The 22700-nt window shown below is 41.5% G+C and overlaps 1 protein-coding gene across 28 annotated transcripts in view; it reads left to right on the top strand.

Annotated features, from left to right (window-relative positions):
- EBF1 (EBF transcription factor 1) overlaps nt 1-22700 on the top strand; it is a 403997-nt gene that overhangs the window by 246561 nt on the left and 134736 nt on the right. For all 28 annotated transcript variants that reach the window (NM_182708.3, NM_001324108.2, NM_001324106.2 and 25 more), the window contains one exon: nt 13246-13327. In NM_182708.3, coding sequence (NP_874367.1) covers nt 13246-13327 — 82 coding nt within the window. The remainder of the gene's footprint in view (nt 1-13245; nt 13328-22700) is intronic.

The raw sequence follows: 22700 nt of genomic DNA, 5'->3' as shown, positions 1-22700 counted from the left end.
CCTGATTGGCTTGACTTGGGTCACATGCCAGTCTCTAAAGCAGATATATAGTTGGGGGTTATGATACTCTGACTGGCCAGGCCTAAATCACAAGTGCCTCTTTGGTCCAAGTGTGGAATGAGTTTATGCTGCTGAAATGTAAAGACTCTTGAGTGAGGGCGAAGTTGTTCTCTAAAAAAGAGAATAGCAGACTGTTATCAAAACAGAATAAAAAGGATTCTGGCAGTCAATTCAGACTCCTGTCCTCTGAAGCCTCTGGACCCATTCCACAGGAAAACAAGTATACAAAAGTTTGCATACAATGTTGGGGTGATCACGGATGCCATGTAGACCACCCACTGACTGCAGGTTAAGAATATCTGGATTAGATCATTTCTTATCCCATTCCAGCATTTTTTTGTAAATGATCAACCAATTTTGTGATAAAATGAAAGCTTTTTTCAGAATTATGTTTTCAGTGTTTCAGGTTTAAACTGAAGCTGTTCAAAAGTGACATGCGGGGAGGGCAAGCGAGTGACCTGTGAGCTACAAAGCACCCTCAGAAAGTCTAAATGCTGTCATTGTTCGTCTCTGATACTGCTTTAGTTTCATTTTCCATCAGCATCCTTATGATATCATGAGAAATAGTGCTTAATAAAGTGTCAGACTCTATTTTGCATTATGATTTCAAAATGATAAATTTCTTCTTATATTTTTATGGACTAGAACACACAGGCTTATTGGATCGTCTATAATATAGACTAGAATAATTTGGAGCACAGGAGATTATTGTCAGTGCTCTGTGGGCATGATGCTCGCTGGTCATTTTTATTTGTAGACTGGTCCTGAGGTTTAAATCCAAATTAAGGAGTCACTTGTTTTTATCTGAGCTCAGCTTGTGTGGCATGTTGGGATGCAGAGATTTTTTTTCAATGAAATCCATTGCTCAAATTAAATTCATTATCCCCAATGATGTGTGAGGCCGGGGGATGACAGGCAACACATGAAGATGCTGAGACTGGGACAAGGGAGGGTATGATGGGAAAAGTGAACAGACAGATGCGGTGAATATTAAAAGGGTAATGATTATTTAAAATAGTTTCAAAATACTTTTCATCCTTAGCAAGATTCTGTGTCCCCCACCCCCCACACCTTGGGGAATAGCTTTTTCAGCTGATCCCTTTTGTCTATATGTACTTTTTTTTTTGGTTGAAAAGTGAGTTTATTTATTTTCCTTGAAGCATAAAGTTTCCAAATATCAGCTTTCTAACGCAAACAAGAACCCCTTCCCTCCCCTCCCTCCCCTCTCCTCCCCTCTCCTCCCCTCTCCTCCCCTCCCCACCCTTTCCCTCCCCTCCCCTCTCCACCCTTCCCCTCCCCTTCCCTCCCTTCTCCCCCTCCTCCCCACCCTTCCCTGCCTTCCCCTCCCCTTCCCCTGCCCCTCCCCTACCCTTCCCTTCCCCTCTCCTCCCCCCTGCCTCCCCTCCCCACCCCTCCACACCCTTCACCTCCCCTCTTCTCCTTTTCCCTTCTTCCCTTCCCGTCCCTTCCTTTCTATTCCCTTCCCTTCCCTCCTTCCCTTTCCTTCCCTTCCTTTCTCTTCCCTTACCTTCCATTTTCTTCCCTTCCCTTCCTTTCTCTTCCCTTCCTTTCTTTCCTTCCCTTCTACCCTTTCCTTCCCTTTACTTCTCCTCCCTACTTCCCTTCCCTTCCTCCCCTCCCCTTCCCTTTCCTTCCCTTCCTTTCTTCCCTGCCCTTTCCTTCCCTTCCCTTCTCCCCTCCCCTTCCCTTTTTCCCTCCCCTTCCCTTTTTCCCTCCCCTCTCTCCTCCCCTCTCCCCTCCCCTCCTTTCTCCCCCCTCCCCTTCCCTTCTCCCCCCTCTTCTTTCCTCCCCTTCCCTTCTCTCCTTCCCTTCTCCCCTTCCCTCTCCTTCCCTTCTTCCTTTTCTTTCTTCCCTTCCCTTTCCCCTCCCCTCCCCCTCCCCCTCCCATTCCCCTTCCCTTCCCTTTCCTTCTTCCCTTTCTTGACAGCGTCTCACTCTGTCACCCAGTCTCAGCTCATTGCAACTTCTACCTCCTAGGTTCAAGTGATTCTCCTGCCTCAGTCTCCTGAGTAGCTGAAATTACAGGTGTGCACCACCACGCCTGGCTAATTTTTGTATTTTTGGTAGAGACGAGGTTTCACCATGTTGGCCAGGCTGGTCTCAAACTCTTGACCTCAGGTGATCCGCCTGCCTCCCAAATTGCTGGGATTATGGGCATGAGCCATCATGTCTGGCTAGGAACCTTTTTCTTTCCCTGCAGCTTGTGCTGGGATAAGAGAGGATGGGTGGGGAAATTTTATTTTTATTTCTACTCAGCAGTGTTTTGACTTGTTTTTTTGAGATGGAGTCTCGCTCTGTCACCCAGGCTGGCACCATCTCAGCTCACTGCAACTTCTGCCTCCCAGGTTCAAGTGATTCTCTTGCCTCAGCCTCCAGAATAGCTGGGATTTCAGGTGCCCGCCACCATGCCTGGCTAATTTTTAAATTTTTAGTGGAGACAGGGTTTCACCATGTTGGTCAGGCTGGTCTCAAACTCTTGACCTCAAGCAATCCACACGCCTCGGCCTCCCAAAGTGCTGAGATTACAGGCGTGAGTCACCACACCTGGCCCTACTTAAGTTTTTATGCTGAATTTCAATTGCACATGATGAGATGCCCAGGCAATTCACAATTTCTGGTATATAGCTCCATCATTTCACTTATCACATAGTATGGTATTATTAATTTTAAGAATCAACTAGCTATCAATTCTCAAGCTTTAGTGTGCATCAAAATTCTTCAAATGCCCCTCTGGTCCAAGTGGACTCATCCCACAGGAAAGAGTACGTACAGAAATTTTCATACAGTTCCTACTTTCTCTCTGCCAGGACAAGTTTCTGAGGTAATTCTGATGAAGACAGCATGAGAACTGTACTTCAATGAACTTTCACAAGGGAAGGGACTGGGTTGTCTGTTGTATGCCTTCTGTTTGGTGCAAAGTAGGTGCTTAGTAAATACTTATTGAATAAGGACAGACTGAATGAATAAATAGATAACCTAAGAAAATAGGCTGAATGAAGAAATAGTAAATCATTAAGAGTTTTAACTAAGGGTTTCAACAAAAGTCAACAGAATGGTCTGTAGAATTTTGGAGAAGAAACTAAACAGACTTTAGTTATATGGCCTTTTATTCCTTTGGGTTACACTTGAATGATGGGAAAACAATGGCAGGTTTAACTTGGAGATAAAAATTTCTCAACATCAAAGTTTAAAATATTAAGTAGGAAGTTAAGGACACCAATGGTGTGGAGCCTTCCCAGTTGATACTCATGTATGAATTATGCAATATGAAACTAATAAATGATGTACATTTTACAGAGTGTGAGATGGATAGCTCTTAACTGTTCACATTTGAGTTAAATGGTAAATCTTAGAGCATAGAAACTTTGAGAAAGCCACTCGTAATCTTTAGTTCCTAATTTATTCCTTGTAGAATGGGGCCAACATCCCTAGGTTCTGTGCTGAATGATATTCACTTGAAGTTTTACAATGCAGTTGTTTGTTATTTCATTAAAGTAGTGCCTATTCATAGAAAAGTCAGAAAATATAGAAGAAAGAAATAATCTTTGTGCTATAATTCAAAGCTAACTGCCATTAATATTTGCAGGTAGTTTAAGTCAGCTGTGTATTCAGTGCTTTGCATGTACAGCTGTGCAAGGAGCTGTCAGGAATGGAAAGGCACTATCAGAAGTCCGTGGTGTCTTGCAGGGGCAGACCATTATACAAGCAACTGCAGGCCTTGCAGTGAAGACCAAGTGTGACAAGTGCTGTAACAGAGTGTAGGTGGCAGGGATTAATTCTAGCTCTGGGTATCTGGGAAGGTTTCATGAGCTCAGTACATTTATACCGCACCTGGAGGGATAAGTGGGATGATGGGAAGCTGAGATGGTGTGGGAGTGAGGGAGGCATTTCAGATCCAGGGAGGCAGCCTATGGTGAAGGCAGGAAGGAGATTTCATGTTCAGGGCACAGGATGTAGCTTGGTGTGACTTAGCAAAGAATGCTGAAAAGTGAAGAGTAGGAGAGCATATTATTGGCATTATTAGGGACTTTGAAAGATTCACTGATCTAGCCCCTGCCAGAACAGCCACAACTGATTAATATTTTAAAAGTATTCAATCTTCCTTGGCAATTACTTGAATACTCTATCATCCTAAGAGTCAAAAGTTTTCCTGGGAATTTGAATGTAAAGAGTTGTCTTCTTTTTTACTTTTCTTTTGGAGAAAAACTTGAACCAAAATCATGGTGCTCTTAGTAAAATTGGTATTGAATGAGAAGCATCACTACATATTGGACTCTCTGGAAAGGTCTGTTGGTTGAGTAAGTGAATGAATGTGTGACAACGAACATTTGTACTTTTTGAAGTCTTGAATCATAAGTTGAGCATCCAGGCAGAACTGTATGCCTCAGTTACTGTGGACTTGAACTTCTTGATCTCTCTCTGACATCTGTCACCTCCACAGGGGAAGTTAATATCGAAACCCTCTGAGTCCTTAGAAGGGAAAAGTGAAATTCTAACGTGAGATTCTAAATGAATCTGCTTTAAAATGCTAAACACATATGTACTGAACAAGGAGATATTAACAGCCTTTCATTTTCAACCCCTGGCTTTCTGTCTGCATGAAACACACACAAAAGTAGTGACTGGTGACTATCATAATTACATATAGTATAATTTAATCCTTATGGTGATGTTCATTGACACTTCCCAAGAGACCCAGATTACATTGGTTTTGTTTTGGCCACTGTTCTCCATATTTGGGTTGGTTCTGTTACCAGATCACCCACTGGTCTTTCATTATGGTTAAAATGCATTTGAGGGATCACAAATAGGGTGAGAGTGGTTGGGAGCAAACTCAAAAAATATTAAAATTTATAATTGGCTATAATCTAGTGAAAGTGTTGGCATTTCTAGTGAAATGATTATGCTGGCTTCAGTTGTAATTTTGAATGAATCTGGTGATGATAATAAGAATATAACCAGAATGGTCAATGATCCCACGATATATATATAACATGTAAAGAATATAGTTTAATGGATGTGGGCTTTGGAGTCAAACTGCCTATGTTCAAATCTCAGCTCCACTTGTTACTAGATGGGAAACCTTGGGCAAATTACCTTACCTCTTGGTAGCATTATCTGTAAAATGAGAAAAGAAGTAGAATCTCATAGGACTGTTGTACAGAGTAAACTGATACATGCAAAGCACTCAGGACACGGCCTTACACATGGTGCAGTGCTTGTGTTTGCTGTAGTAACTGCTAAGTTGAGGAGCTGAGGCTCCTTCTGCCTCATTTTTTATGCTTGGCTTTGTGGGGTGGGTCGCTGTTACTGAAGCAAAGTTGCCACCTGCCTGTGCATCCTTTTCAGCCTGGGGAAAGATTTACACCAGTAATCCAGAAGTGCAAGTCCTGATACCTTTGCTCAAAACCTGTCCCTTGGTCTGCAGGAACTCTGTGGCCATGATTCCCAGTAGAAATTTGGTTCCTTGTAATGGAAACAGTTTAAAACAAATGTGTCCTCAGTCTGTCCCCAGTTCCAAGAAGGACAGACGGACACTTGGTTTTGTGATCTGCCTCATTTCTGCCACATTTCAAATCATTAGGATGACTTCAAATATTCGCCCAGGGCCAGAGTTTGCACCTTAATATGTTTTGGCAAGAAACACTTGGCATTTGAGTAATCTGTGTAAAAGAACATCCGTGAGGATAAACATCTTCTCTACCACACATGAACTTAGAATTCTTTCTCTCTTAAATTTCCAGTCAGACATTGCTAGGGGAGTAAGTTGGGCCAGATAGCCAGAAGTCAGTGTTAAGCTACAGCCCCCTTGCTCTAACCTCCCTTCTCTGTGTCATTTCTAAGAAATTGTAATTTTTTCTTTCCCCATTGGCAACTGGTTAGTTGTCCTGTCCTCTACCTATTCACTGTCTCAAGACTTTTTCCTGCCTTTCAGATTTGACTTCTAGTATGAGGAGACCTACGTGGAGTGCGTCCTTTTCCTTAAAACTATTTTTAAATTCTTTCATTGGCTGCTGTGCTATGACAAAACCATTTTGTTTTTTTAAATTCTTGCCACTAATGATGCCCTTCCCTCAAGGGCATACTCTGAGCTCTGAGGTAATGAATGCTTTTCAGGTTGATCATGTTCATCCCTTCAGGCTGAGAACACTTTCCAGAAATGCCCAAGATCTAAAGGACCTTGGCCAGTGGAAAAGGTAAACTTCTTGAAATCAGTGGCCAAGAATAGGGGCAGCCACATGCTCTCCCCCTGGGATCCCCAAGATAGTGCCACAACTCGGTACCATTCCACCCTCCACTGCAGGGAGAGAGGAGAGAATTTGCTTCATCTGTGCAGAATTCCCTCCAGGATCTTATTCCTCCCCTTTCTGCCCACCCCACCTCTCAAACAGAATGATTGGTGCTTAAGTCAAAGAGGGTCTCTCTCAGGAATGCATGTTAATATCAGAAAAGGAGAGGAAGTCAGCCCGGCAGTGAGCAACCTTTACCCTTACATGGGTTCAGCCTCCTCAGCCTGCCCTTGTGGCATCCTGGGATTTTGGCAGCCTTATGGGTATCAGATTTTCACATGGATGAACTGTACTCTACAACTACTTCTGTGTGCTAGGAACCAAAACGCTTTCTTTGACATTGAAAATAGAGTTTTCTCCTTCTCACTGTTTTGGCCTGCTCTGTTGCAAGGGAGATCCATTTTTCAGGGCCTTGAGACTCTTGTTTACCTCTTCTCAGAGCTCTGTGTCTTTGAAGGCTACCAGGAGGTAGTGATGACCTTCGGATAAAGCCCCTGGCAGCTCAGGTGGGCTGGGTAGGGATAGGTGCTTTTTGGTTCAATATTTTCAATTTGGGAGATAATCCTTAGACTCTTAGAAAGACTTCCTTGGCTATTTCTGGGCAGTAGGCTTGGACATGGAGGCAGGAGGTTCTGCATTTCTTTTTCAAAGCAAAGGTGATGGTGCCGTCTATGGAAACAACTTTTCCAAAGAGGTCCTTTTAATCATGAGGCATTTTGCTGTTTACCCTCCAGTGTGTGTGGGGTGGGAGCAGCTTGAACTTCACACAGAAGGGAACCCACAGTTGTTTCCACACAGCTGTTTCCTGCATTGGGCCAGAGCAAGTCTCCGTGTCCTGAATATCTGCGGGAAGGATCATCTGCCACATAACCATCTGCAGGCATAAGTCAAGAGGAACTTTCGAGGAGCCTTAAGATTGCAAATGTAGGTTTTGTGTCTCAGTTTAGGTGTGCCTTGATGCATTTCCTGTCTAGCATGGACATTATGAGAGCAGCTGCAAAAATCCAAACGTGATTTTTCAGAATTTGGGTTGGGGGAGGTAAAAACTCAACCTGCTCAGCCCAGATTGATTGCAATGCTTTACATAATAATTAATGATGTACAAGCTGTTGCCTAATGGGCAGTTTTACTGTGTGTGCCCTTCAGTTCTGACTGGCTGGAGTTCTCCACGATTTAAGGCACTACCCCTTTCCTTTATGTGTCTTAGCCTTTGGGTAAAGCTGCTGTAGTCATTATTATCTTTCTTTGGTGGTTATTTCTTCTTCTTTTTTTTTTTTTTCTTTTTGTAGGTCATTCAATGAAACCTATAGTTCTCATTGGGTACATAGGTCTTTGCTTCTTTTCTTGACCTTAACATTTAAAGAGTGAAGAATACTTTTTGTATCTGAAAATCTCAACATCTCTGAGTGCTAGGCAGTGAGCAGTTGCCAGGGATAAATGATGAAGAAAATAATTATCACTTCCTCTATGGCAGGTACTATTTCAACACTCCACATATGTTAACTCATTTAATTCTCTTAACTCTTTAAAGTAGGTTCCGATGTTCCTCCCATCTTACAGATGAGAAAATTGAGGCACAGAGAGGTTAAATAATTTATCTAAAGTCACCCAATTAATTAAGGAGTAAAGCTAAAATTACGGTGAAAGCTGCACAGTGATCCTAGGAGAGAGGTACTATTATTCTCATGTTTTAATGAGGCCACTGAGGTTCAGGAATTGTTGAAATTCACTCAGGCTTCTCTTAGCTCCAATGCAAGCTCTTGCCCAGTATATTCTACTGCTGTCTTTACTGTAAAAACACCCTTATTTCTATCCCTTGCAGACCCTAGACTCCATTTAGTTGAGCAAGTATTTACTGAAAAACCACTGGGTTCTAGGTCTTACGCCGGGCACTATGCATGCAGGGATGATTTTTTAAAAATTTTATATCCTTATGTAGGTGAGTCAGATCCTGCTGACTAATTGAATTAATTTTCCTTTTGGGGGAGTCCAGAAGTGCCTTTTGGTCTTGAGTACCGTGCTGGTCACATGAAAGCTACTCAAACTAGATACTAATATCTGTTGGTTGGTAAAAGGTGATACAGGTATGTCATTGAACAAGCAATTTTGTTCTACAAATGTTTGTATTGGGTTCAGTTAGTTCCGTGATGGGCTAATGTCCTACACTGGCCTGATTGATGAACCCAAATAAAACTTTTAATAGGATGTCACCTTTTGGTTTTATGACTGTCACTTTCCCATTTGAGGTAGTAGACTAAACAGTTTAAGAGCGCAGGCATTCAGCTCTTACAGGATTGGCTTGAGAAGCTAATATTATGTTGGGAAAATTATATAACTAGACATCAGGACATATGGATTATAGTTCCAGCTCTGATATTCATTACTAACTATGTGAATATTGTCATGTCTTCTGATGCCTAATTTTTCTCATAGGCAAAATGAGGAGGTTAGACTAAGTGATGATTAAGATCACTTATAAAATCCTAGAGTTCATGGAAAACACATACCATGACTAGTCCTTTCGGTCAATTTACGAGATTGGTTGTTGACTGTAGATAAATCCCTTAATTTTGTTGTCTTTGTTTTTCTTGCCTTTCAAATGGCTTTGATAATTCCTGGTGCACCTAATTTATAGAAATTCCGTGAGGATTTAGTGAGATATTGGGAATATAAGTGCTCTGAATAATTAACGCATTACATGAACACAAGATGATATTATTTGTACTGAAAGTTAACAGAAAGATGTCGAGTTTCTCGTTACCTCCTTCCTTCCCCCTCAAAAAAAAAAAAAAAAAAGGCTTGAGTTAAAAAGGAGTTTGATCCTGGTCAGGCTGTTTCCTGGAGTTTATGGAACTCCTTGGAACTCTACAGGGTCAATAGGGGCTTTGTCCTGCTGTGGGTCAGTTTCCCACAGTTGGGGTAAGGCTGCCACACTTTTTCTCCTGACAACACTTTATCAAACACACCCGCCTCACAAAATGCAGCAATTCATTAGACAAAAGTGAGGTTTTGAGTTACAATAACCTCTGCTTTGTTAAAAGCCCCCTCGGAATCTGAGATCTTCTCCGTAGGCCAGCAGACGTGCACATGTCCCCCGGTTTACAAAGGCCTTATAAACTTAGCCTGATAAGTCATCCCCCAAATTCGTGTGCCATGTCTGTCTCTCAGTGGGGATATTTTTAACTCCTCCTTCTAACTCCTCTCAGTTCCTTTAAGGAACTGTAATCCGAAAGGGTCAGGCACTTGGCTTTTACTTAGGGGAAAACTTTGAAAGAATTTCTGAGGCTCCCTCTGGGGTAGGGCTGGCTTTCCCCAAAAGAACTGGCCCTTCAGAGCGTCTTTTCCACATAAGGGCTTGTGTGAGGCCTCAGGCACCAGTTGATGGCCGTGTCTTCCCCACGACAGATGGTCAAGCTTTCAATTTCAGCAAGTGATCCACTGTTGAGGGGGCAGGCGGGGGACTCTGCCAGCATGCCAAGTGACAGGCCAGCTTAGGGTAACAGGGATCTGGTGTGTGCCCGGCATAGCTTTTGTGCTAACGATGGGCTGCTGACAGGCGCCCTGCCCCAGCTCATCTTTGAGGCAGAAGATCCTCTGCTCCCTTGATTCTGTTTCTCCCTGGCATAGCTGGTGTCCTGTTTGCCTGTCTTTCAAAATTCATTTTGGCACCAGATGGACCCCCTCATGGTGGCTAGCAGTTGTCTGACTTGAAGAAGCCAGAGGGTGTGCTGACAGCTCCTTCTAGCACAACCTGAATCTGGCTGTCTTGTCTGGGCTCAAATGGCTTAAACACACATGGGCAGCAAATATTACCAACCCTGGGGAAGCAAGCAGGGGGCCCTCTTAAGGGAGAATGGCAATGACGTCTACCTCCATAATGTTCATGTTGCTGTTGTGGAAATCATGATACTAATAATTATTCTTAGTAGTTCGATTAATCTTATTTACTCTTATTAGCAAAATTGCTGTTACAGTACGATTGCTATCAATAGTACAATTAGTATTAACATCATTACTGCACTACTTCTGTCATTACTAAAACTACTACATCATGGTGGTTAAGAGTACAGTCTCTGGAGCTACACTGTCTGAATTTGAGTTCTAGATTCACACTTCCTAGCTTTGGACAAGTTATTTCACTTCTCTGAATCTCAGTTTTCTCATCTATAAAATGGGATTAATAGCAGAGGTTACTTAGGAGGATTGTATGAGAAAACAGATTTGTTCTTAGCAGTGAACTGAGCACAAGGTAAGCACCCAATACACGGAAGCCATTCTTATGATGACTGCCACCATCAGCATACCTACCATGTATCTGTTACTCTGCCTTATCGCAATTTTCACAGTTTCCCTATACAGTAAGGCCTGTTATTGCACCAGTTTATAGATAAGGAAAGTGTGGTGCAGAGAAGTTCAGCTCCTTATCCAAAGTCACACAGGTAGTACCTGTCAGAGTCAGGATATGAATCTCATTATTCTGGGTGTTTCTAATGGCTGTGGCCTTTCACCATATCACACCCACTCTTGTTGTCAGTTTAGTGATAATCAGCCCTCTCCTGGGGCTTGAAGTAGCTTTGAAATATGCCCTTCTAACTGACTGTTCTTGAAAGCAGCAGCCAGTTTTCATGTCTTCAGTGTCTATGGATATAGGATTGAACCCTAGCAAGATTCAAGGATCACAACAGTCAGCTCCACTGTATTAAATGGTTTCTGAAAGCCATGTGTGATCAGCAGGGCTACCCAGCACTTGCCTTCTGGGAGCTCAGACCAACAAGACAGTGCAAAGGCACTTAGGATTTGGGCCACTCCCTTAACCCCCCTTCCTTTACCAAATCTGTCATATTGAAAGTGGGCAAGAGTCAATGACTGGCTGATTGTCCTGTGCAAGGACAGTGTGGGTCTTGGTACCGGAAAAGGAGAGCTCAAAATCAGATTTTGTTTCACACAGCTGGGCTTCAGTGGTGTTCTGTAAGCCATTTGTCTTGGACGAAAGGTTGATCAACTTTGGCTTCTGTGGAGAGAATCTGGAAGTAGCGGCAAGTGATTATTTAGAGGCCTGCTTTCATTGATGGGCAGTCAAATGTTGTGTGGTGTTAAACAGTCATTTTAGGACGATGTTTGCATTTTTAAATGTTACTCTTTTGGTTGAAAAGGCCATTGTTTGTCTCTAAAGAATGATTCCCACAACATACTCCCATCTTGGCAGATTCTAAGAGACCAAGGAGCAGAGGGATTCATCTGGGACTTCTCTCAGTTTCATATTCAGAAATTGGCTGAACTCTGTATGTCTTCGTGCAGTGCTGTTGTTATAGAGGATCCCAGTGTTACATGATTGACAGACATTGCAGTCAGAGCCAAATTCAGACTGAGGCATCATAGGGTGATAGTTCTTCATAATCTATTTGTGTTGAGATGGGGATTTTACTCCAGTGTGGACTTGAAGTGGAAGAAAGGGGAAGAGAATTGAATTACAACAAGAATTCAGTTGACCAGCATTTTAATGCATTTTGATATTTTTAGGAAACATTTCGGCCTGAAATCCACAGGCACATCACATCTAGGCCTAGTAGTAAAAGAGATTGCAAAACTTAGGTATCTTTGGAAATACTTCTTTTCCCAAACCTGGGCAGGTAGAAGGTTTAATTACAGGTGGTAGACATGAATGCCCCAATATGACACTTTTAGTAGCTGCTGCTTTTCCATGATAGACTTTAACAACTGTGATGGTTACATAAGAAATAACTCAGAAAGTTATAGGGTGACCATATAATTTATCACCCATACCAAGACATTTTTGAGAGTTAAAGTAGGTACTATTAATATATACACCAGTACAGCTGGTATAAACTGGGATTTTTCTTGGCAAATTGGGACCTTTGGTCACCTTAGCAAGTAAAACCCATGAATCTCACTACAGAACCAATTCAGAAACCAAGGTGGCAGTGAGGCAGGAAAATCTTTATTCAATCACAGCTAGCTCTTGTCTACAGCAGACAGTTTAAGAAAAACAGGAGGGCCTGGCGCGGTGGCTCACGCCTGTAATCCCAGCACTTTGGGAGGCCGAGGCGGGCGGATCACGAGGTCAGGAGATCGAGACCATCCCGGCTAAAACGGTGAAACCCCGTCTCTACTAAAAATACAAAAAATTAGCCGGGCGTAGTGGCGGGCGCCTGTAGTCCCAGCTACTTGGGAGGCTGAGGCAGGAGAATGGCGTGAACCCGGGAGGCGGAGCTTGCAGTGAGCCGAGATCCCGCCACTGCACTCCAGCCTGGGCGACAGAGCGAGACTCCGTCTCAAAAAAAAAAAAAAAACAAAAAAAAAAAAAAAAAAAAAAAAAAACAGGAGGTATTTGAGAAGTCAAAGGAGTTTAGTTAGTTTGTGAATTTTACTTATTTCTCATGGGTAGTACTAATTAAAACATTTTACTTGAGAGGCTAAGATAAAAAGTGGTTACCAAATCCTTGTATTCATCCAGCATGTATTTGCCAGTTCATCATCTGTGAGTTTATAGGGCTTAAACTGCATGTTGTCGTTGGGGACCATGAGTAATTCTCAGACAATTATATCCAATTGGAACCTAACTTAAATTATGATGAAAGCTTTCCCTCTGTATGAGTGAAAATACTTCCTTGGGGCTTAATTCTTCTGTGAGATCTGTTGGCAGTGCCAACAGTGTTTGTGTCATAAGGAAGGTCCAGCGTGGAAACAAAACAAAGGCTAAAGCCACAAATGAAATATTGGCTCTAACACCATGCTGAATATTTCAGAAAACATGTAAAGAGAATCGAATGCACAACCCAGGGGTGACTTACCTCTTTTTTCCCTCCCGTGTCAGAAACCGAAATGCTAACCATGATGATTTGTTTCTTCACAGGTTCTTCTTGAAATTTTTCCTCAAATGTAACCAAAATTGCCTAAAGAATGCGGGAAACCCACGTGACATGCGGAGATTCCAGGTGGGTCTGACTTATCTTTCTTGAATCTCAATAATGGCATGAATATCAGGAGAGGATAAAAAAGTCTTAGGCAGAAGATACGTAGCTTTTTTTCCCAGAGGTGAAGAGCAGCTGAGGCCCTTGGTCCCCCAGGTATCTGCAATCTAGCAGTTGTTTAGATTAGAGAAGAGTGGGAACTGTACCACCTGTGCTCACTGGTGGAAACAATGGTGTTCTTTGAGTCTAGTTTTGGCTGCCTGAGTGGACTCACTTGCCTAAACCCCCACAGATTAAGTAAAGTACATAGAAATGATGAATCCTTTGTCTAAAATTTTGTATGTAGAAAACCAGTAAATAAGAGTAAAGAGGCTGAGCGCAGTGGCTCATGCCTGTAATCCCAGCACTTTGGGAGGCTAAGGTAGGCAGATTGTTTGAGTTTAAGAGTTCAAGACCAGCCTGGCCAACATGGTAAAACTTCAACCCTACAGAAAAATACAAAAATTAGCTGGATGTGGTGAATTTGCCTGTTGTCCCAGCTACTCGGGAGGCTAAGGTAGGAAGATCACTTGAACCCGGGAGTTGGAGGTTGCAGCTGAGGTCATGCCACTGCACTCCAGCCTGGATAACGGAGTAAGATCCTATACCCCCCACCAAAACAAAACAAAAACAAACAAACAAACAAAAAACAGTAAAGAGTACAACTGGTAAAACTGCTCTGCTTTACAGTAATGGCTTTCTCTTCCTTTGCTTCTCTCTGCTCACCTCTTCCAATTTTGGAAATTGTTAGTGGTAGCTGCCTATTATAAATGGCCCTGTTAAGAAGCATAACATCTCTAAAATGATATGGATAACAATTCTGTTTCAGAAATGTCCTTAATTATACATTTACTAAAGGAAGAGGACTCACAAACAAATTCATTTACTTCTAAGACACAAAATGGTACTTGGATTTTAGAAAAGGTTGTTGAGTCTAGACGTGGTGCTTCTCTGACTTAAAAGTGCTGAAAATCCCCTGAGGATCTTATTAAAATGTTAATAGAGGTCTGGGGTGGGACTGGAATTCTGCATTCCTAACAAGCTCCTGTATGATGCCAAGGCCACCGCCCACACTTTGAGTTGCAAAGTTTTAGACCCTTGTGCTGCTCTCCACCGAATGGCTAAGTTATTTGTATGGTCAATGTTAGTTTCCCTGTCAGAGCAACGATCCATTTATGTATGCTCATATGGTCCATCAAGGAAACAGCATGGTGTTTAAAGTATGCTCTTAAGTATATTTAGTCAGCTTTAAGTGTAGATTGAAATGTATGATCTCTGAGAGAATCTTGAAAAATTTTAGCTGCACCTTCATTCTCTGATGGGAAAAAGGAAAGATGATCTTGAGCATTGATTGGAGATGTCAATATCTCTTAGTCTCCAAGATGATTTCTTTTAAGGAGGTGAGACTTATTAGTCTTATTAAAGAACAAATGCGGTAGAAAAAAGTAATCTCTCCTGAGATTCTGAGGTATTTCTCTAAAATCATCTTGGCTTCACCACCTTTTGGCTTGACACACAGGAATGGGGATGTTTCTTTTTTTCTTTTCTTTCGTTTTTTTTTTTTTTTTGAGATGGAGTCTTGCTCTGTTGCCCAGGCTGGAGTGCAGTGGCACAATCTTGGCTCACTGCAAGCTCTGCCTCCCGGGTTCATGCCATTCTCCTGCCTCAGCCTCTGGAGTAGCTGGGACTACAGGCACCCACCACCATGCCCGGCTAATTTTTTTGTATTTTTAGTGGAGACAGGGTTTCACTGTGTTAGCCAGGATGGTCTTGATCTCCTGACCTTGTGATCTGCTTGTCTCGGCCTCCCAAAGTGCTGGAATTACAGGCGTGAGCCACTGCGCCTGGCCAGGAATGGGGAGGTTTCTAGTTTCTTGCAAAATGTTTCCTCCGGTCATCTGACTTCAAACTTGGTGTTCTCATTCCCATAGAGGATTTTTTGTGTTATGTTTGAGTCAACTTTGCAATTAAGCTGGCAAAACCACACATGTGGTGCTACTAAGTGTGTGTTGCTTAGGGTCTTGCAACATGAGGCTGAATTTTGGAATAAACTGTTTTGTAGCTTGCTTTGGTCTTGACATGAACCTTATATTTCTTTTGACCAAAGCTTGAGTTAGGAGCAAAGTATAGCTGGGCGTGAAACAGTGTATGTCTAATAAACATGTCTAATGCCTAATGTATACCAGGATTAACTCTGCTGTACCTCTTAGGGCAGCAGAGTTTGGGATGGACTTTGATGACACTGGGAACCTAAAAGAGCATCCGTGTAGAACTTCCAGGGGCTCTCTTTTCTTTGTGGAACCTACTAGTAAAATGTCTGAAAAGGTTGAATTATAGAAATATACCTGTTATACAAGATGAGAAACCAATTTAGTCTATTATTTTTGAGAACATCTACAAAGCTTCTATTTTGCAAACAAAATAGTTATTCTTTGTTTAGTAGAAAGGCTGCTGAGATGAGGAGGCACAACATAGATATCTGGAAAGTCTTATAATCCTTTGGAGCTTCAGTTTCCTCAACTGTAAAATGGAGGAAAATTGACACTTCTGCTTATATCACTACATATGAAAGAAAGCAATATTTTGCATGTATAGCTAATTTGTAAGTGATAAAATACAAATGCAAGCCTTTGGAGAAAATCCATGTGACAAACTGAAGATGGATCATGAGTTCAGTCTAGGGTTTCTCAACCTGGGCACAGTTAACATTTTAGACTGGATAATCCTTTTTAGGGTCAATCATGGGGGGTGCCCCCATGCATTGTAGGATGTTTAGCAGTGTCACTGGCCTCTACCCTCCAGATGCTAGTAGAGAACATCTACCTCCCAATCATGACACCCAAAAATGTCTGCAGACATTATCAAATGTCCCCTGGTGGAGAGAGGAGAGGCAAAATGGCCCCTGACTGAGAACTACTGATTAGTCCTATATCTGATAACCGCTGACAAGCTCTTACTGGTGACAGTGCCACTGTCCCAAAAATTGCACACTTTGATTAAGTGTGAGAGCTGCCCAGCACAAAGTCCATACTGTCTTTCAAATAAATATGATTTATCTGAACTCTGACACTGACAATGCTCTTGCCTGTGATTCTCAAATGGGTCCTAAAATAGATCAATAGGGGCAGCTACCTTGGCCACCATAGAGTCAGTTTTTGAGTTAAGGATGAGCCGTGTCTTCCTTTATTAACAATGACAAATTCCTTATTGGGTCTCAGGTTTAACCTGCTTTGTTCCCATCACCCACTCTTTGCTGCCTAGAAGAGGATGGAGGAACCCATGGCAGAATGAACACTGTCACATTTTATTTTTTATCCCTGTACATTAATACATTTCTTTATTATTTTCATACAACCAACATTGGGTTTCATGCATGCAGGTGCATGGATATTTGTGTAATTAGAGGATGGATGAATTGCCTCGAGAGTTAAAGCAAAACCTCAAATCTCTCTAACCCAACCTTTTATTTTTTCTTCTTCAGTCTTTTTCTCTTTCATGACTATTTACTCCTACCTCTCTCTGTATTATTTCATGCTGGCAGACATTACACCCTTTTTGAATCCATTTTTTTTTCTTGAATTATATAACAACAGTCACTCATTCTGAACTCCCTACAAGGGATGCTGTTTGTTTGTCTTCTGTAAATATTGTTTTTTTCCAGGTCTCCTTCTGAAGTCCAGATCTTTCCCCATTTTATAGGCTCTCTCCAGTATCTTCTCCAGTCACAGCATCTTAACCACTATTTATGCACTGAGAACTCTGGTATCAGAATCTCTGAGACCTGACACCCAGGTTTAGATCTAACTGTCCAGATGTCTGCTGGATATTTCCAGGAACTTCAACTCAGTCAGCCCCAAACTGAACTCACTGTCATCCTCAGGTGTTTTTCTGTTTGTTCGTTTTGCCTCCACCCCAAGCTTCTTAGGTTCTCTGTCTTGGTTCATTCCTAACTGCATTAAATGCTGGGAAGATAACTGTGTCTATATTCAGCATGTTCCATGTTCACGTGTATAAATGCATGTGTCCATGTGTTTACCTTTATGTGCTTCTATCGATATTGGTAGCGATGATGATGATAAAGCTAACATTTATTTGGTGCTTCTTTAGTGAGAGACATTGTGCAAAGTATTTTACATGAGTTATCATGTTTATCTTCAAAATACCCTTATTAAGAATATGGAAATGTGGATTATTCCCATTTTTAAAATGAGGAAACATTTTAGAACAGTTAAGCAATTTACCCAAAGTCACACATCAACTAAATGGTAAGGCAGTGGTATAATCCAAGCAGTCTGACTCAGATATTTTCTGATGTTTTGGAACAACAACAAAAAAAAATTGTCCATAGTCTGTGAGCAGATATTTAGTGAGGCTATAAAGAGATCTCGTAACATCTGAGAGCCCTAATGACCCCCCACAAATATGTGCTGGAATCCCAGGAAAGCCTGAGAGGGGTCTTCAAAAGAGATATTTGTCCTAGCAGAGCCTAAAGGTGCCATCTGCATGAAGAACATTGACACACAATCAAAGTTCATCATGCAGAGGGTAGAGTTGTGTGGAAGTGAGGAAACATGAACATTTTTCCAGAGTACAGCTACAGTGTTGATCAATTTTTACTTGCAGGGACTTTAGAAAAACAAGCTATTATTTAGCAGGTAACCTGAACTTCACTTAACCTGTAAAGGGTTTGGTCAATTCTCCAAGGCAAGAGAGCTCCTCACCTAGATGGGGCATGAGTAAATCACCCCGAAGACATCTCAGAGTAGTCTGCTAAGAAATCCTACTAAATTTCCCAAGTCTTAGGACCGAACCAAGACAGGGAGGATTAGTCTTTGCTGTAGCTGTCCTGGCTACAGAGGTGTGTGTCATAATGATATTGGTTGAAGATTGCTTATGAGTAAGACCTATACTTTTTAGCATTTTTCTCATAGCACACTAATTGGGAGGCTGGTTTCAAATATTTTTATGTCTCTGTTGCCTCTGAGGGTGAGTGAAAGAGTGTCTTTCTGGCACAAAAAAACTCTGGTCTCCTCCTTACATGTCAATGTGGCTTTTACCAGTTTTATTGAAAACCTGAGTCCTGGCACATCTGACTGAAGACACCCTCTCTTGCCTACTAAGCAGGGTCTGTGCAGTGGTCACTGCCGCTGCTTTCCTCCATCTCACTTTGTATGCTTGCCGGCCAGCCTGATCTTCATATAGCAACGCAGGAGCGTGTCTCCTCTGAACAGCAATCAGGGGCCTGTGTAGGTGACTGAGGAGGACATAAGAAAGGTTGTTGATCTCTTGACATGGAAAGACATTCTGTCAAGCAAACTCAGCTTCACAGTGGCTGGGCTTCTGCTGTGTAAACAGAGATTGCTTAATTACACAGGTCGTGTCAATTAGTGTGACCTTAGTGTTTTCAAGAAATTAATCACTTTCTGCAGAGCTGGGCTGTGTTCATACTTTAAGGCAGTATGGAATAAACCTTGTAGAAAATCTGGCACAATGTTTTTTTTTTTTTAATTTACAATGGATGCTTTCTTTTGAAATCCCTAGGCTGTAGTTAGGGTAAGAAATTTGCTTAAATACAACAGTGGATACAGGCTTTGTTAAGGACTGGTGGGTATGAGGAAGGCTGGAGGAAAGAGAAGGGGAGCAAGCTGGGGATGGAAATAGCTCACGACACAGGGAGAAATTCACTTATGACTAAACAATCCTATTTCTTCGTCTTGACACTAAAAAGATGCTAATGTCAAAGGACTATGTTAAAACCATGCTTCGGTCTGATTTTTAACCGACAGGAGCCAGACAATTCAACCTTAAGATTTAAATTTTTATCAATAGCTTTCCTTTTGGGGACTGGCAGAATGAGGGTGGTAAGGGAAGAACAAGAATCAGGTTCAAGCTGTCATTGCAATAGATACCATAATACCTGGAGACTGAAGTAAAGTATAAATTTCCAAATTCATCTTATCTCTTCAATAAAGTTTTTCCATTGGCTATAAATCTATATTCACGTATAAATATTAGATCTATAACTATATATGAATGTAAATAGAAGACATAGTTATGCACACATGCAGGAATGCGTGCATTCAGTAATATTTATTGAAGTGCTAAGTGGTGAGTCTATCATGATGAATAAGAAAGATAAGGTCTTTGCCCTAATGAAACTTATATTCTTCTTGGGATGATACTAGCTCTTGTAACAAATAGAACATATAATATCGAATGGCTCACCTGCAGCAGAAGGTTATTTCTTGCTCACATAATGGTACAAGGCAGGTGTTCCTGGTTGACGAGCAGGTGTTGTCCTTGAGGTTATTTGGGGACCTGGACTCCTTTTATTTTATGCCTCTCCTATTCTACAGAACCCTGCTGTCTTTATCCAGTCCTCTGATGGGAGAAGGACACATGAAGGGTGCCATGTGCTTTTTAAAAGCCTTGGCTTACAAATTTGCTCACTTCCATTGGCTAGAAGTCAGTCACATGGTCATATGCAATCATAGGGAGGCTTGCATGGTCTAGCTGTGCAGCCCATGAAGACAAGAAAATGGATGTATGTAGAATAATTGCCATTAGCTGCAATGAAGATGTGTACAAATTAACAATTACAAATATTAGAAATTGTAACTGCTGCTATAAAGAAAATTAAACAGGTTATTATGAGAGAGAAAAACAGTGTGGGGTGGGAGATGAAAACCTCTCTTTTTTTCTTTTTTTTTTTTTTTGAGATGGAGTCTGGCTCTGTTGCCAGGCTGGAGTGTGGTGGTGCCATCTTGGCTCACTGCAACCTCTGGGTTCAAGCGATTCTCCTGCCTCAGCCTTCAGAGTAGCTGGGACTACAGTCACGCACCACCACCCCTGGCTAATTTTTAGATTTTTTTTTTAGTAGAGAAGGGAGACAACCTCTCTTAAAGTAGGTGACCAGGAAAGCGTTCTGAGGTGAGGACACTCAAGTTCAGAGATCAAGAATAAGGATAAACCATCCTGGGAAGAGCCAGAGAGGGTTCTGAGCAAAGGGAATAGCAAACACAAAACTCATGTTTACCTCATGTTTATCTAAGGAGGCAAACAATCTTGCCTCACATCTTAGTCATTTGGATAGTAAAGAAGAGGAGAAACCACTGGGTTATTCATCCCAAATTCCCACCAAAAATGTGTTTTGCTTTTTAAAATGATGACATGAGTTATGACATTAAAAGGCAACTCCCTGCCTTTTCAAGTAAATTCTAGAAATTTTGGAGAATCTTTGCTGTTTGCTTAACAAGCCATGGTATCTCTGGATCCGTATGTTTTAGGGAATGATTAGAGGATTCTTAAAATACATGCCTGACATCTGCAGTTTCTGTCTGCTTTAAATACACTTACATAAAAGGGATAAGAATATGTGCTTCTTTATTTCTCCTCCACCGACTCCCAGCCCCTGTCTTGGATGTACTTATATTGTTATATTGTTTTGACAAATAGCACATCTTGCAATTAAATTCTCTACCAACAGAATGCTAGGGGCCCGAGCTGCGATCACTCTCTTCATACAGAATAATTTCAAGAGGCTCCATGCTGATTAATTATACTGAAAGCAGCTCTAATGATAGTTTCAGAATACAGGATTAAGTCACATAACATGGTAAATACAAATGGTGATTTTCAACCTGATATATTAAACCATTATGGCTTATTGGGCAAATATGTATCTTGGCATGAGCCTTATGCTGAGCCTTGGCAGAAAGTGTGCATCACTGAGAAGGAATCTTTATGAACAGCATTTGATGAGTGGTCGCCCTGCACTTAGAGAACATGTATTTCTACATTAAACACAGCTGCTTTTAAAGGAAATGTAAAATACATTAAAGGATGAATGTAAAAGTGTTTGGTTTGATCAGTGATTACCAATGGATGCTGGCTCTGAAGATGCCTATAGTTGTTGGGATTTACCAGCAAAAGGTATCCTTATATTCTTCCACTTTTTAAGTTGTAACTTGTAGAGCTCTAGTTATATGTCAGACAACATACTAAGTGTTATACATGTATAATCTTACTTATTTTTCTACCACTTTTTCTCTTATTTGCTTTAGTCCTGTCAAGCACATTGGCCTTCCTTCATTTTTCTTCCCCACATACACCAAACTCATTCCTGCCTCAGGATCTTTGCACTTTCTATTCTGTCTCCCTGGAAAACTCTTCTGACACATTGAATGACTGGATATTTTTTATTCAGATTTCAGGCTGAGCACGGTGGCTCATACCTGTAAGTCGAGCACTTTGGGAGTACGAGGCAGGTGGATCACTTGAGGCCAGGAGTTTGAGACCAGCCTGGCCAACATGGCGAAACCCCATTTCTTCTAAAAATACAAAAAATAAAATTTCCTCTTTTTTTGTCACTTCCTTAAAGAAGCCTTTCCTAATCACCCAATTAAAAATATCTCCCACCTAGGAATCATCTAGGTGGAAGATATTTTATTTTTTCTTAGAACTTATCACAATCTGAAATTTGCTTTTATTGCTTACTTATTGTCTGACTCTCTCTCTGTCCCCAGTAAGAACTAAACTCCTGCTTGGTAAATGCTTTATCGGTTTTGTTCATTGTTGCTTCTTCAGTGCATAGAATAATGTTTGGCACATGGTAGGCACATAGTGGGCTCACCACGTATTCCTATGACTAAGTGACTCATCTAAGATTACAAGCAAGTAAGTGATGGGACTGGGGATCAAATTCAGGATCATCTGACTCTGGAATCTGAGCCATTGACCAATATGCCATTTTCTTGCTCCTGATTTCCATGTCCGTATGCCATAGCCCCATCGTTACAGAGCACACATGACAATCCTGTTTGTCTCATTCCTACCTAAAATGGCCAATGAGGACACACACACAGAGAGCACCAGCTAAACACCAATGACACCCTCAAGAGTAGTCAAAAGTATCCTGATCCACAGAGGGAGGAATGAGGTTCAGATGACTTGTGAGCTTTTCATGTTTATCATATGTCACCGTTCAGGAGACAGAAGCTAATTCTAGTTTCCAAAGGTCTAGATTAGCTTAGCACATGTATCTGAGGATTTAGAAGTGTCTGTTCTTGTCTTCCTGTTAAGAGCTGGTTTTGCCTCAAGCCTTAAAGTGCGAATGTAATTCCATTAACCACTCCTTTACTCCAGCAGTTCCACTCCATGACATCCTGTAGGTTCACGCGTCCTCCATAATTTTTAATGAGTTATTTGGAATCTTTCAACCAGATAGAAGCTAGCAATCAGGAACATTTCTGAGAATATCGCATTCATATCAGCCAAGGATATTTTAAAGGACAAAGTTAATGAAGACCTAACTGCTGCAAACTATTTTTATGTAAATAATACTCAAACTGTAGTCGGT

This window comes from Homo sapiens, chromosome 5 (assembly GCF_000001405.40).
Source record: "Homo sapiens chromosome 5, GRCh38.p14 Primary Assembly".
In the NCBI taxonomy this organism is placed as follows: domain Eukaryota; kingdom Metazoa; phylum Chordata; class Mammalia; order Primates; family Hominidae; genus Homo; species Homo sapiens.
This window is presented reverse-complemented; position numbering and strand designations above follow the sequence as displayed.